The following is a 13459-nucleotide window of genomic DNA, read 5'->3' on the forward strand; positions in this document are numbered from 1 at the left end:
CTGCACTTGTGTCCCCCTCATGAGGTTTCCATACTCATCTCTCTGTGGGTTCACTGAGACCTTCTAAGCAATGAATTGGATTGATCTTAAGGGCTCTGAAAATAGCATTTGTAGTGAATTGTGTTTCCTTTTCTGATTTGGCCTCAGAAGAGTTTAGAGCCAAATTTGTAGCCCAGTTGTAGGTGTAGGGCTGATGAATACGTCAGTGTATACTAACTTTACCTCTGGATTCATTTCACTATCTTACTCATAGTTTTCCTTTACTTTGATCTCTGTGGCTGCTTATTTCTTATCCCATGGCATTACAACATACAAATCAATTCCAGCCTTTTAGAACTAGACACAATGTGAAAGAATATTTTTTATGCAACTCCTGAGATTGAATAAATGGAAATCATAATTCTTTCCATAAAAAAGAAAGCTACAAACATTGCATAAATATGCAATAAATCCATTTCCATTACCATGTAATTCAATTCAATAAATACTAAGCAATAACATGCCACATAACATGGAACAAATCACAAGTCAATGAACAGCCTAGGACAATATGAGTTCCACCAGTCCTCAGACAAAAGACATAGATTCTGTGTGTCTCAGTATGTATCTTAAATATCCATATTTATTCATATTGGAAAAACACAAAGACAATAAAAATAAGACATATATGCTGTAGTATTTTATACTGTTTGAAATTTGTGATTATAAAATATACTCAAATGAGTTTTGACTACCGCAAATGCAATAGCAGAAAATATCTCTTTTTAAAAATTGATCCCAAAGTGCAAGAGTTTATACTAGAATATGTAAATTTCATCTGTTTCACAACTTCACTGGGAAAATTTAATTGTTTGCTATCTCTGGAGCCCTGCTTGCAAGCAGACCGCAAGCCATATTTTATCTTATAAACATCTACTGTATTCTGGAGTGCTGTGATGTGAATTTCCTGACTTCTTCTAGTCTCTACTCTATATTCTTATTTTTCCATGCACGCATTAGCACAACTTCTTTTTTTTTTCTTTGAGAAGGAGTCTTGCTCTGTTGCCCAGGCTGGAGTGCAGTGGCACAATCTAGGCTCACTGCAAGCTCTGCCTCCAGGGTTCACGCCATTCTCCTGCCTCAGCCTCCCGAGTAGCCGGGACTACAGGCGCCTGCCACCACGCCTGGCTAATTTTTTTGTATTTTTTAGTAGAGATGGGGTTTCACCATGTTAGCCAGGATGGTCTTGATCTCCTGACCTCGTGATCTGCCTGCCTCGGCTTACCTCCTGTAATCATGCTGGGATTACAGGCATAAGCCACCACGCCCGGTATTAGTACAACTTTTAAAAAGGATAGAGTGGTGTGCTACTGTTTATGTTTTAAAATGTTCATTAGTCTGGAAGGTGACCTAGAGCTTTCATTAGATTCTCAAAGGGGTCAACAATTCTCCATCAATTCCCTTCCCTTCCAAATGGTTAAGGACTACTGGTCTATACAGAAGAAAGGTGGGACTGCCACAGCCTTCTGCTGCAGCCAATGGGTGTTGAGTACTATGGGAATGGCAAGCCTTGGGCTTGGTGGAAGAAGACCACATAGAAATCCCTGAAGGGAGAAACTAGCCACCTCTGTCATTAGTCATGGCTTTGTACAGCACCCAATGGGTTATATAATAGCTTCTGTTTTCATGCTACGGCAATTCCCCACACTTTGTAAATATCCTCCCTACAAGTGTTTGAAAAATAATTATGCCATTCCATTACATCCAAAACTAAAAACAATAAGGAATGGAGTGACTACCTACTTATTAATATGTATTTCCAGTGGCATTTATGTGAATGATCAGGAAGCATTGTGACAATTAAATCAACCAAACACTTAAGCAGTTTTACATAGAGTTGTGAAATTTCATTCATTGTGAGCCTGCTAAAACCAAGTTGGCTTACCTGGTTGCTTACAGGTTTTCATTAAGACATCAATATTTACTTTCTCAAATGCCACTAAAACCAGTTCAAAGCCTACCACTGTAGCTACAATGATGATGTTATCACATAAAATAAAACAATGTGTTATTGCTAACACATAAGCTAAAATTAACCACATTTTGAATATAATTAATGCCTTGGCAAGATCAAATTAAGAAACCAGTCATAAAGCTAGGATGGGCTTTATCTACTCTTTCTATCAAAATCAAACTTTCATATCAAAATGAAGAAAAGATACAAATTACTTTAGGCAAAACCCACAAAAGTTTTGCCAGTGGATCCTCAGTGCTTGGGGATTTAAGAGCCACCATTCTGCCTACTATTAAATAAACCCAGAAGTCTATAAAAATGTAAGGATTTATCACAAGAACATGGGTAGCATCAATAAAAACAGCCCCTACAAAATTATTAACATCTTTGTGTAATTACTATAAACAAGTATTATGCGTAGCACTTTATAAATGACATCATTAAAACTCATAATCTCATTTAATTCTCACAACCAGGCTGTGTGCCAAGGGCTAATGTCATTTCCATTTTACAGACGAGAAAGCAGAGGCTTGGAGAAGAGAACAACAATTTGTCAATTTGTCCATGGCCACCTGTTTGTAAGAGGAGGAGTGTGGACTGGAATGTTCTTATCAGCCATGATTTATTATAATAAGACATAATATGGAGATGGAAACATCAAATCAGATCACATTTATCTGAATTATGAAAAGGTTCTGTTAGTCACTGAGCTAAGTCAATGAGGCTAGGGGAACAGCCTAAACCCTAAATCTTAATAGGATTTGTGATTTGGGGGATTCTCAAAGGTGTAGAAAGTACCCCTAGTGGATAAAAAATGGTCTGTAATATTCTGTTCAAAGCTATCATTTGGCTTGTTAATGTAAATTAAAAACAAATGTACTACAGAAATACTACACAAAGGGAAAAGACAGTATATTTCATTTCTTTTGCTTTGTTCCCATGTTCCTTTTCCCCAAATGTTTAACTCTGTTCATGCACATCTGTCAAATTTTTCTTCATCTGTTCTCAAGTTACCTCACTGTGGAGTTCATTAGCTGCTGGTGAAACTCACAAAGGTAACAGAACTAATAAGACTGGATCCTTAAAACCCAACAAAAAATACTTCCTGGTCTGTAAAATATTAACACTCCTAATATATCCTAACGAGTTACTTATTCAAATGCAAAATTATGCATGGACCGCAGAAGAGCATGTCAGACGTAACTACAAATGCTGCAGATGTCTTCTATACCTTTGCTAGCATGGCAAGGTGCTGATTCTGAACAATGGCAGTCCGATAGGTTGCTAATCCTCCTTCTTCCAGACTAGGAAACAAATAGTACAAATGGACGCTACAAAAAAAAAAAGAAGTACATGAATAAATATGCATCACGACATTCTGTCTGTGGCTCTGAGTCACAGAAACAGGGCTGGCACACAGTAGCTGTGCAATGGATATCAGGTGAATCAAACTAAAGGATCTGATTAAAGTCTTTGAAAGTTAAATGGTAAGAACAGTATATCTGAATGTGCTAAAACCCAGACAGCACCATTCACTTGTATTTTCACATTTATTTCTGTTAAAAGATTTCTCTGAAATCTGATGACAACAAAGAGCAGAATAATCAGTTACACACTCTAAGAGCAAACACATTAATACTAAAAATTGGGAGTGAAACAAATGCTTTTCCTTGGGCTGTGTTACGTGTGGCCCCTGGAGAGAGGAGTCCCTTCTCCTGATTATGTCCATCTTGTGAAAAGAAATAACCTAAAGAGAATAAAAACAGCTCAAGAGAGTTCCAAGAGAAGCATGTATTGTCTCCCTTTAAAAGAGAAATTGTGTCAGTATAGAAAAGCAAAACACTTTCCTGCCCCTATTCCTTTTTTTTTTTTTTTTTGAGACAGAGTCTCACTCTGTCACCCAGGCTAAAGTGTTGTGGCATAATCTCAGCTCAATGCAACCTCCACCTCCCAGGTTCAAGTGATTCTCCTGCCTCAGACTCCCAGGTAGCTGGGACTACAGGCATGCACCATCACACCTGGCTAATTTTTGAATTTTTAGTAGAGATGTGGTTTCGCCATGTTGGCCAGGCTGGTCTTGAACTCCTGACCTCAGGTGATCCACCCGCCTTGGCCTCCCAAAGTGCTGGGATTCCAGGCGTGAGCCACCGCGCCTAGCGTCCTACCCGTACTTTCAAATTAAGGATCCTAAAACACTTCTGGAGAGAAACACACACACACACACACACACACACACACACACACACACACACACACACACACACTAGAAAATCTGGTCATTAAAATTACTTGTAAGCTTTACTTCCCTTGAGATCAGAAAGAGTAAGAAAGGGATCAAAGACAAATCCTAGAAGATGAAATGACATTTTAAAATATCATCCCTTTCTTTACAAATTGAACATAAGCTCTGAAGCATCTAGACCAAGGCAAGCTGATCTCTTGTGGCTGTAAGCAACTTTAACATATACTTGACAGGACAGAGACACCAGCCTTTCATCTTGTAATCTCACTCATTACAGCATCAGTGAGTGCCAGTTATCAGGGCAAGGGCCACAGACATGTGGCTTCTAAGCTCTACAAAAGAGATAAAATACACGGTGTATCAATGCCTTATTTGGCTAATTACAAAGAAAGCAATGTAATAAGTATGTTACCTATAAAATGTAATTATTGAGGAATTGTAAAAAACAAAAAAGCCTAATTACCTGGTCAGAAATTCAACAACAGCATCACCCAGGAATTCCAACCGTTCATTGTGGTTAATCCTACAATAGGAATTAAAAAGGTTACTTAATACAGCATATTAACACTCCCCCCCACCCACCCACCCCCGCAAGAAAAGAACACATGAGGGTTAGCTCCTTTAGTAATCAAACCACCTTCCCTATTCCTCATAATTAAGAGCACAGACCACCATCTTAGCCTAGAGGCATCTGGCACCTGCCTAATGGGAAGGAGGGGTGCATTCCTTCATATCACGGGGGTCAGGCTTTCTACCAGGGGGCTTCCTTCCCCTGGGAACCACAGCCTTCAAGGTGATATCTCACTAACAATCGTGAGTATTTCCATACTACTATCAGGTAGAAGACATAAAGAAGAATGCCTTCAGTGGATTTTCTGACCACTGAAAAATCTATTTTGATACAATGTCCTAAAGACAGTTCCCCATCACTCCAACTCTAAACTCAACCCAGCATCTGAAGTCCTTCAAAATAAGTGTAATCTACGTTTTCAGTCTCATTACCCACTCCTACCCTATCCTATCTACTCATTGGGCCCTGCTCCAAAACTGCCTGGCACTCTCTGAAAGAGGCATCACTTAAGACACTCAGTGTGCCTCTTCAGGCCAAGCTCCCTGCCACCCTAGAGCCTTCCACTCTCTCGCATACAATGAGCCACACTGAAAATCTACTCACCCCTCAAGGCCTAGCAAAAATGTTATCTTCTTTATGAAGCCCTGCCCGATGCCCCTCATCAAAATTAATACTTCTCCCTCAGTGCACAGATCACACTTTATTTAGACTTTAATTATATGATGAAGTCATATCCCACAGGCTGTTATTTTCTCATGTTCACATACAAGGCTGAAATGACCAAGAAGGTGGCCCACGGAAAACCTCCTCCTGTGTCTCAGTGAAGCCAATGGAGCACCCTCTCTCAGTACTAATGTGCTTCTCTCACTGCCCCGTTGGTTGAGCACAGACATGACATGAAGTGATTTAGGTTTTCAACAGGCCACACTGGCTGCTGTGTAGACACTGAGTGCAGGACAGAGAAGCACTGTGGAGAGGCTGCAGCAGATGCAAGGAGACTTTCCTGCATGGGAGGCTTAGGCTGGGGAGGTCACAGTGGAGAGGAGGGAAACAGTCACATTTGGGATGCATTTTGGAGACACAGCTGAAAATAAGTATTGATAGCTGGCGCTGGGATTTGGAAGCTAAGTGAAAGAAAAGAATGAAGGTCAATGGCTAGGCTTTAGCTTAAGTAGCTTGTGAGGAGTGGTGCCGTTTACTGTGGAGGGGAGGACCAAAAGGAAAGCAGGTTTTGGGGAAAAGCAAGAGGTGCATTTTGGACATGTTAACTTCAAAGTGCCCATCAAATATCCAAATGGAGAGATCCAGTAGAGTGCTACATATTAACCTACTGCTCATGGGCTAGGACACAGTTGCTAATGAATCTTTAGGGTTAGTCAATGTTAGACAGAATTTCAGGTGATGAATTATATGACACCACTTGAGAGGATGCAGCCAGAGGGAAAAAAAGTTCCCAGGAACGAACCCAGGGAGTGCCGAAGTTGAGAAGTCAAGCAGGAGGGAAGCCAGAAAAGAAGACCTGGCCAGGGAGGTAGGAGGAAAACGAAGCCAGTATGCTGTCCTCAAGGACAGCATGGTATCCTCCAGCCATAGGGAAGAATGTGTTTCAAGAGAGAAGTGGTAAGCCATGCCCAATGTTGCTTAGATTCAAGTCAGATGAGAACAGACCACTAATTCAGTCCTGTGAAGTCACTGAGGCCCTTGATAGGCTATCTGTGAAGTGGTGGAGACAAACCTGCATGGGAGTACAGTAGGCTGGAGAAATGATAAGTTGTATGGAATTGTACAACAGCCCTCCCATACCCATGGTTTCACCTTCCACTGTTTCAGTTACCCCTGGCCAACCACAATCTAAAAATATTAAGTGGAAAATTTCAGAAATAAACAAGTCATAAGTTTTAAATTGCATGCTGTTCTTCAACATATGGTAAAATCCTGTGCTGTCCCACCCTATTCCACCTGGGATAATCCCTTTTTCTAGTATCTCTATGCTGTCACTTAGTAGCCATGTGGGCTACCAGATCGATTGTCATAGTATCTCAGTGCCTATGTTCAAGTCATCCTTATTTTACTTAATAATGGTCGCAAAGCACAAGAGTCATGATGCTGGCATACTGTTATTTATTTACTTTTTACTTTTATTTTAGGTTCAGGGGTACCTGTGCAGGTTTGTTACATAGGTAAGCTGCATATCATGGGGTTTGGTGTACAGACAGCATGTTGTTATAACTATTCTATTATTGTTGCTGTTAATCTCTTACTGTGTGTAACTTATAACTTAAACTTCATAATAGGTACGTATGTGTAGGAAAAAACATAGTACATAAAGGGTTATGTACTATCTTTGGTTTTATGCACTCACTAGAGGTGTTGGAAGGATGGGGAGGGATGACTAAATATGAAAAGAACCTTAATGTCTATTTCAAGGCTGGCTGCTGAAAGAGAAAATATGAGTTTGGGGATGTACAAGGGGAGAAAAACCAAAGGGATGCACTGAGGAGGGAAGGAGGACACGCAGAGCCCATGGGGCCTGAGCAAAGACAGCAAAGGACAGGCTTGGGCATGAGCAGAAGCTGGCCTCACTAACTACAGGGGCTTTCTTAAATCTCTCTGACACCAACCCACATCTCCCCAAATAATTCAACAGCTGCCTGTCGAGTCTCAACCCATCTGGCTTTCAAGGCCATTCTTTATCTAGTTTCATCATACCCACCCCTCTTTTATCAACTAGCAACTTTCAAGTCCATGTTGATCAACCTGCACAACTGTACCATGCACACACCATCCCCTCTCCCTTCCCTGCTACCTCTCCCAAACTGCACTCATTCCTACAGTCAACTGGGAGGCCGACCCTAAGTACTGGAGCTGCCAGGGGTGCGGGCTAACTCCCACCATCCCACCCTCATTTCCATAAAACTTCAACACTTATCACTTCGTTTACAACAAAATTAGATCATATCTGTATTATTCTGTTTCATGTGTGCCAGTTTAATTTCCATATTTAAAGTATCCCTATAGTTTCCATATATAGTAGAAAATTTAAAATATTTGTAAATTATTCTTAGCTACAAAATCATCTACTTAGAAATTTAAGCACAACTGCTATCATTTCACTTATCGCATTAGTAAGTTTATTCTTCTACCCTACTATTCCTCCACATTTTGGAATTTTACAGGAAATAAAAGGTAATAGGAAAAATCTGCTAGGTTGTGAACAATGAATAAGTGATTCTGAACCCTCCTTTCAATTTATGGCCTTTAATTTATGTGAAAACATCACTCTGGAAAGCAATTACAGGTTAAGCAACCATAACCCAAAATCCAAAGTGTTCCAAAATTTGAAACTCTTCAGTGTCAATATGATGGCACAAGTGGAAAGTTCCACACCTGACCTTATGTGACAGCTTGCAATCATAACTTTGTCTATACAAAAGTATTAATAATATTGTATAAAATTACCTTCAGGCTATGTGAGTCTAAACCCATCTGGTTTTCAAGGCGATTTCAAGGCCATCTTATATATATTTCTTATGTATGAGATATATATGAAATATAAATGAATTTCAGTTAGAATTGGGTCCTATCCCCAAGATATCTCACTATATGCAAATATTCCAAAATCCAAAAATAATCTGAAACACTGCTGGTCCCAAGCATTTCAGATAAAGGATACTCAACTGTAATAGCCAATAATGGGAAATGAAAAAAAGAGAGAGAGAAAGAGAAAATACATTCATGTCTAGCTGACAAATTCATAATCTCATAATTTAGTTTAAAAAAAAAAAAAGGGCAGGCCAGGTGTGGCTCATGCCTGTAATCCTTTGGGAGACTGAGGTGGGAGACAGCTTAGGCCAGACGTTCAAGACCAGCCTAGGCAACAAAGTAAGACCTTGTCTGTACAAAAAATTTTAAAAATGAGCTGGGTGTGGTGGCACGTGCCTGTAGTCTCAGCTACTCTGGAGGCTGAGGTAGGAGGATCACTTGAGCCTGGGAGGTCAAAGCTGCGGTGAGTTATGATTGTACCATTGCACTCCAGCCTGGATGACAGTGGGAGACCATGTCTCAAAAAAAAAGTAGTAGGTCCTAAGACAAACTTTTCTTATTTTTACCAAATATATGCTAGACTTTAAAGGACTTTTTTTTGTCGCTACTCCACTAGCCAAGAGTGACTCAAAAGTTCCACAGTGGAGTATGACACATTATATTAACAAAAAAAATTTTCAAAACTTTTCAATACTGAGATTTTGCTTTCTGTCAAATACACCAGAACTTCAAAAGCATCTGCCATCATTCTTGGAGAAAACATCAAGGAATAGAGGCATGATTTAATGGTAAGACAATGTTAACTCCTAAGTCCTCCTGCAATTTCAAGAAACCTATTAAGCTGCTGTCCTGGTAAGGATAGAAATAAGAAAGAAATAGTGAGTTTTAAGAAATAAATTCTTTTTCATGAGCCAGTAAAATAAAAATGCATTTTCTGTGGCACAGGCTTTATCTTCTTCCTAATAGTGCAAAGTACTATACAGAAAAATCTTCACATGGAAAGCAAGAAACTGGGGACAAAGGAGCTGGGGACAAACCATATTTGGATGTCTAATGCATTTTTAAAGAATAATAAGACATTTAGTCAAACATGACAATAAGTCATATTTAGTATATGCTTGAAGTCATATACTATTTTAACTGAAGTCATATTGGCATAAGTTTTACCTTAATTTCTTTTATAAACTTTCATGGAGACAAAAACTACATCTAAGGTTTTAATAACCACAAAGTTGGATTATTATTCATTTTGTTGAAATACAAGGTCATGGTTCTAAACAGATTTATTCAACAGAGAGTCTGCCATTTATTAAATAATTTGCCCAAATCCAACATATGTTTTTCTGTATCTACATTATGACTAAACTCTGGCAATAAGCCATAAATAAGAATGGGGATTAAATACCACTTTAGTTTATTATTATACTCTACAATTCCTAAGCCAACGGTTTATCTGGAAAAATGGGAAGAGTGGGCTGCTAGTCCTCACAGCAGTAGCAAATCTTTTGTTCCTTCTTTCATTGTTTAGACTTTCTTTAATCACCCTCTTTATAAATACTAGCAGGATCCAAGATGAGATGTTTACTGAGCAGTAAACACTCCATTTGTTTTTAAGAAGTGAATCAACAGAGGCATTATGAAATCTAGATTAACTGTAACATTTATACAGCACATTTTGTCTGAGGAATTCAATGCACTTTATAAAACACAACCGTCTCCCTGTAACAGTAAGTACTGTAAGGTGCCATTCACTCCAAGGAAAGCCATCTTGGGATAGGCCAAATCCAGTGAGGGTACACAGAATCTTTCGCACTCTGGCATCCCAAGCCTCAAGCAGTGACTCACAGAGTAGGGCTAGAGGGTGCCTTGGAGGTCAGTGGGAACTTCTACCCAACTTAGGATTCCTTCACCTCACTGCATCTGCCTGGACACTTGTAGGGAGGACAGGCCACAGACCCAGGAGATCTGAGATCCAGTAGATCTCAGATCTACTGGACTTGGGAATTTAACTTGAAGCATTTAGGGTGATGGAATTTACATATATTTAATATATATTATTGTGCTTTTAATGCAAAATATACTTGCAACTGCCATTTCCTTAAATATAGAGACATTAACAAATAGTCCATATGTGTCTCTGTTGGTCCGATAGATTTTTTTTTTTTTTTGAGACAGAGTCTCACTCTGTCGCATGATCTTGGCTCACTGCAACCTCCACCTCCTGGGTTCAAGTGATTCTCCTGCCTCAGCCACCCGAGTAGCTGGGATTACAGGAGGCCACCACCATGTCTCGCTGATTTTTGTGTTTTTAGTAGAGAGGGTTTCATCATGTTGGCCAGGCTGGACTTGAACTCCTGACCTCAGGTGATCCACCCACCTCGGCCTCCCAAAGTGCTGGGATTACAGGTGTGAGCCACCACACCTGGCTGAGATTTTTATGCATTATATGTAGCAATGACTCTCCAAAAGAAAAAAAAAATCAAATCAAACCAAGGCAGCTTGGTTTTCCCCTTTGTTCCATTGCTACTCTTCTGGTCCCTCCTTCCCAAGGGTCTTACTGATAATACGTCGATTACTTGAATCCACCAAATGCCTAATCCTTCAGACACCCTTTTTGTGCTAACAGTTCATCACAATTTGCATGAATGAATTAAATATAACTATTCAGCTCAGATTTAGGTGGTTAAACAGTGACATTTTAAAAATTATGGGTGGCATATTTGCTTGAGATAACAGCATCATAAAAGTTAATTATTTTGTAGTTTTCATGGGCAGCCAGGCTATCAAGAATTATTTATTAATTTTAAGGCTTCATGCCTTTTTTGTAAACCCTAGCCCATCCCAACTGAGATTAAGAAAGATACTACCCAGCCATTTAAACTGCTGACCGTAACCCTTCTTGATCCCCCCGCTGCCCTATTTCTAGTCAATAAGTAAATAGCCTGGGATAAAAGTAGTGTGACGAATGGCATTCCTTCCTTTAATACTTATTTACTGAGTACCTGTTCTGTGAAAGGCACTAGTTACAAAGAACAGGGAGAAAAAACATGGGTAGGACCATAGCCCTTCAAAATCTTACAGTCCAGTAAAGAAAAATAGCCCCATAACACAATTATGGGTGCACATAAGAACAAGAATACGTTCCATAAAACAAATACCAGCAGGATTTGAGCAGGATATTACAAGGTTACATGGGCACGACAGAGGAAGTTTTACAATGACGATCAGCACACGGGGAAGGGACAGGGTATGTTTGACAACCCAGGTAAGTAGCTCTGTCTTACTTGGGTCAGTCCCTGTGAGAAGCTGTGCCCAGCTGTGGACTGATAGCTGATAGCAGTCAACTAGCAGCAGATCCTGGCAGTCAAGGCCAAGAGGCTCTTTCTGAACAGACACTTGGGGTCAACTCTGCATCAGCAAAAAGATCATATTCAAGGAAAGAGGCTCTCAACACAAGCAGCAAAGGCCAAATGTCAAAGGACAAGAGAGATTATTTGTTTATTCTCTGTCAATAATATCATTTTCAAAATGGTAAATTCAAACATCACACAGTTTCTCAGGTATCATCCCTTCTGCCACGGTAAGAAAGCCACTACTTTGTAACAGAGCAAAAGAAAACATAAATCATGGGGTTCAAATGACATTATCAAAAGACAATTTACATACCAACAACTGCGGTAGGGGAAGATGAGACAAAGATGATTTAAACCCAGATTTTCATCATTGAAAAGTACATGTCTATGGTGTTCATGCAGCCATGTTAGAGGGCTATGGGTATATAGAATTCTACTTATTAAAATACAGACTTTACAATGTAGCAGGGTAAAATAAAACCATGGTCACACCATCCCCGAGGGTGTGATTAAGGGCTGTTTTAATTCATTCTTTTCTGATCTTAGACTCTCACAGAACATCATAGTGAGGTATATGGGCATATGATCATTTTCAAACAAGAATTTTAAAGCTCTGTCCTGCTTTTCTTTTTACCTCTTGATTGAAGAGGTTTGGTTTCTGATAACCTCAAAAGAGAACAACTCAAGGCAAGTCAATTTTTTAAAAACCTGATATATGAAGGAGATATTGGAAAAGGAAGCCGTGTCAGCCATTGCTGGCAATTTTTGTGGAGGCCAGTGGGCAGCTGAAGTAATTGCCTCGATTTTCTGTCACTTCCAGCCCAACTCTGCCCACCTTTAATCAATCTCAGTCTGGATCCCCAGAATGATAAGCATAGCTATTCCACTTTCCAACTCCCCATCTTAAAAACAAAGCCACCCTCAAGCAGTTTCCTCTACTGGCTTTCCAAATAGAACCTGCTGTACCTCACACACAAAGATAATCCTCCTTGCAAGCAACCCCAGAGCCTCATCAGCCATTAAGCATTTGCTTCCATTCAGTTGTCAAACTGTGTTAATGAGTTTATACAGACCTAGGCCATTCCATTCCCAGATTCTTCAAAGGCCTCAAGACCACACATAAATGAGAATATCAATATGGGAAGGTATCTCATAAAACCAGGAAATTCAATAAGAAAAGCTAACGTACAAAACTTTCCAACTCGTTATATGAGGCCAGTATTACCATTATAATGAAACTAGACAAAACATCACGGGAAAAGAAAACTACAAACAAGTATCTCTTGTGAATACAGACACACAAATCTTAAGCAAAATACTACCAAACTGAATACAGCAGCACATGAGAAGAATGAGACACCACAATCAAGTGGGAGGCATCCCAGGAAAGCCAGGTTGGCTTATCACCCCAAATCAATTAGAATAAAAGAATAAAATGACATGATTATGTTAATAGCTACAGAAAAAGCATGTGACAAAATTCAACACCATTTCATGATAAAAACACTCAGCAAACTAAGATTAGAAGAGACCTTCTTTACTCTGATAAAAAGCATCTATAAAAACCCAACAGCTAACATCTTCCTCAATAGTGAAAGACTGAATGCTTCCTACTGAGATTAGGAAGACAAAGATCTGCTCTCAATACTTCTATTCAGTATTGTACTGGAGGCTCTAGCTAGGGGAACTAAGTTAAGAAAATGAAATTAAAAGGATTACACGGGAAGAAGTAAAACTACTGCTATTTGTAGATGATA

At 39.5% G+C, this 13459-nt stretch overlaps 1 protein-coding gene across 3 annotated transcripts in view; it reads right to left on the reverse strand.

Moving 5' to 3' along the window:
* Positions 1–13459, reverse strand: part of DROSHA (drosha ribonuclease III) — a 131600-nt gene that overhangs the window by 32047 nt on the left and 86094 nt on the right. For all 3 annotated transcript variants that reach the window (NM_013235.5, NM_001100412.2, NM_001382508.1), the window contains 2 exons: positions 4699–4758; positions 3225–3324 (listed from right to left, as the gene is read on the reverse strand). In NM_013235.5, the coding sequence (NP_037367.3) occupies positions 3225–3324; positions 4699–4758 (160 nt within the window). The remainder of the gene's footprint in view (positions 1–3224; positions 3325–4698; positions 4759–13459) is intronic.

Source organism: Homo sapiens, chromosome 5, assembly GCF_000001405.40.
Source record: "Homo sapiens chromosome 5, GRCh38.p14 Primary Assembly".
Classification (NCBI taxonomy): Eukaryota; Metazoa; Chordata; class Mammalia; order Primates; family Hominidae; genus Homo; species Homo sapiens.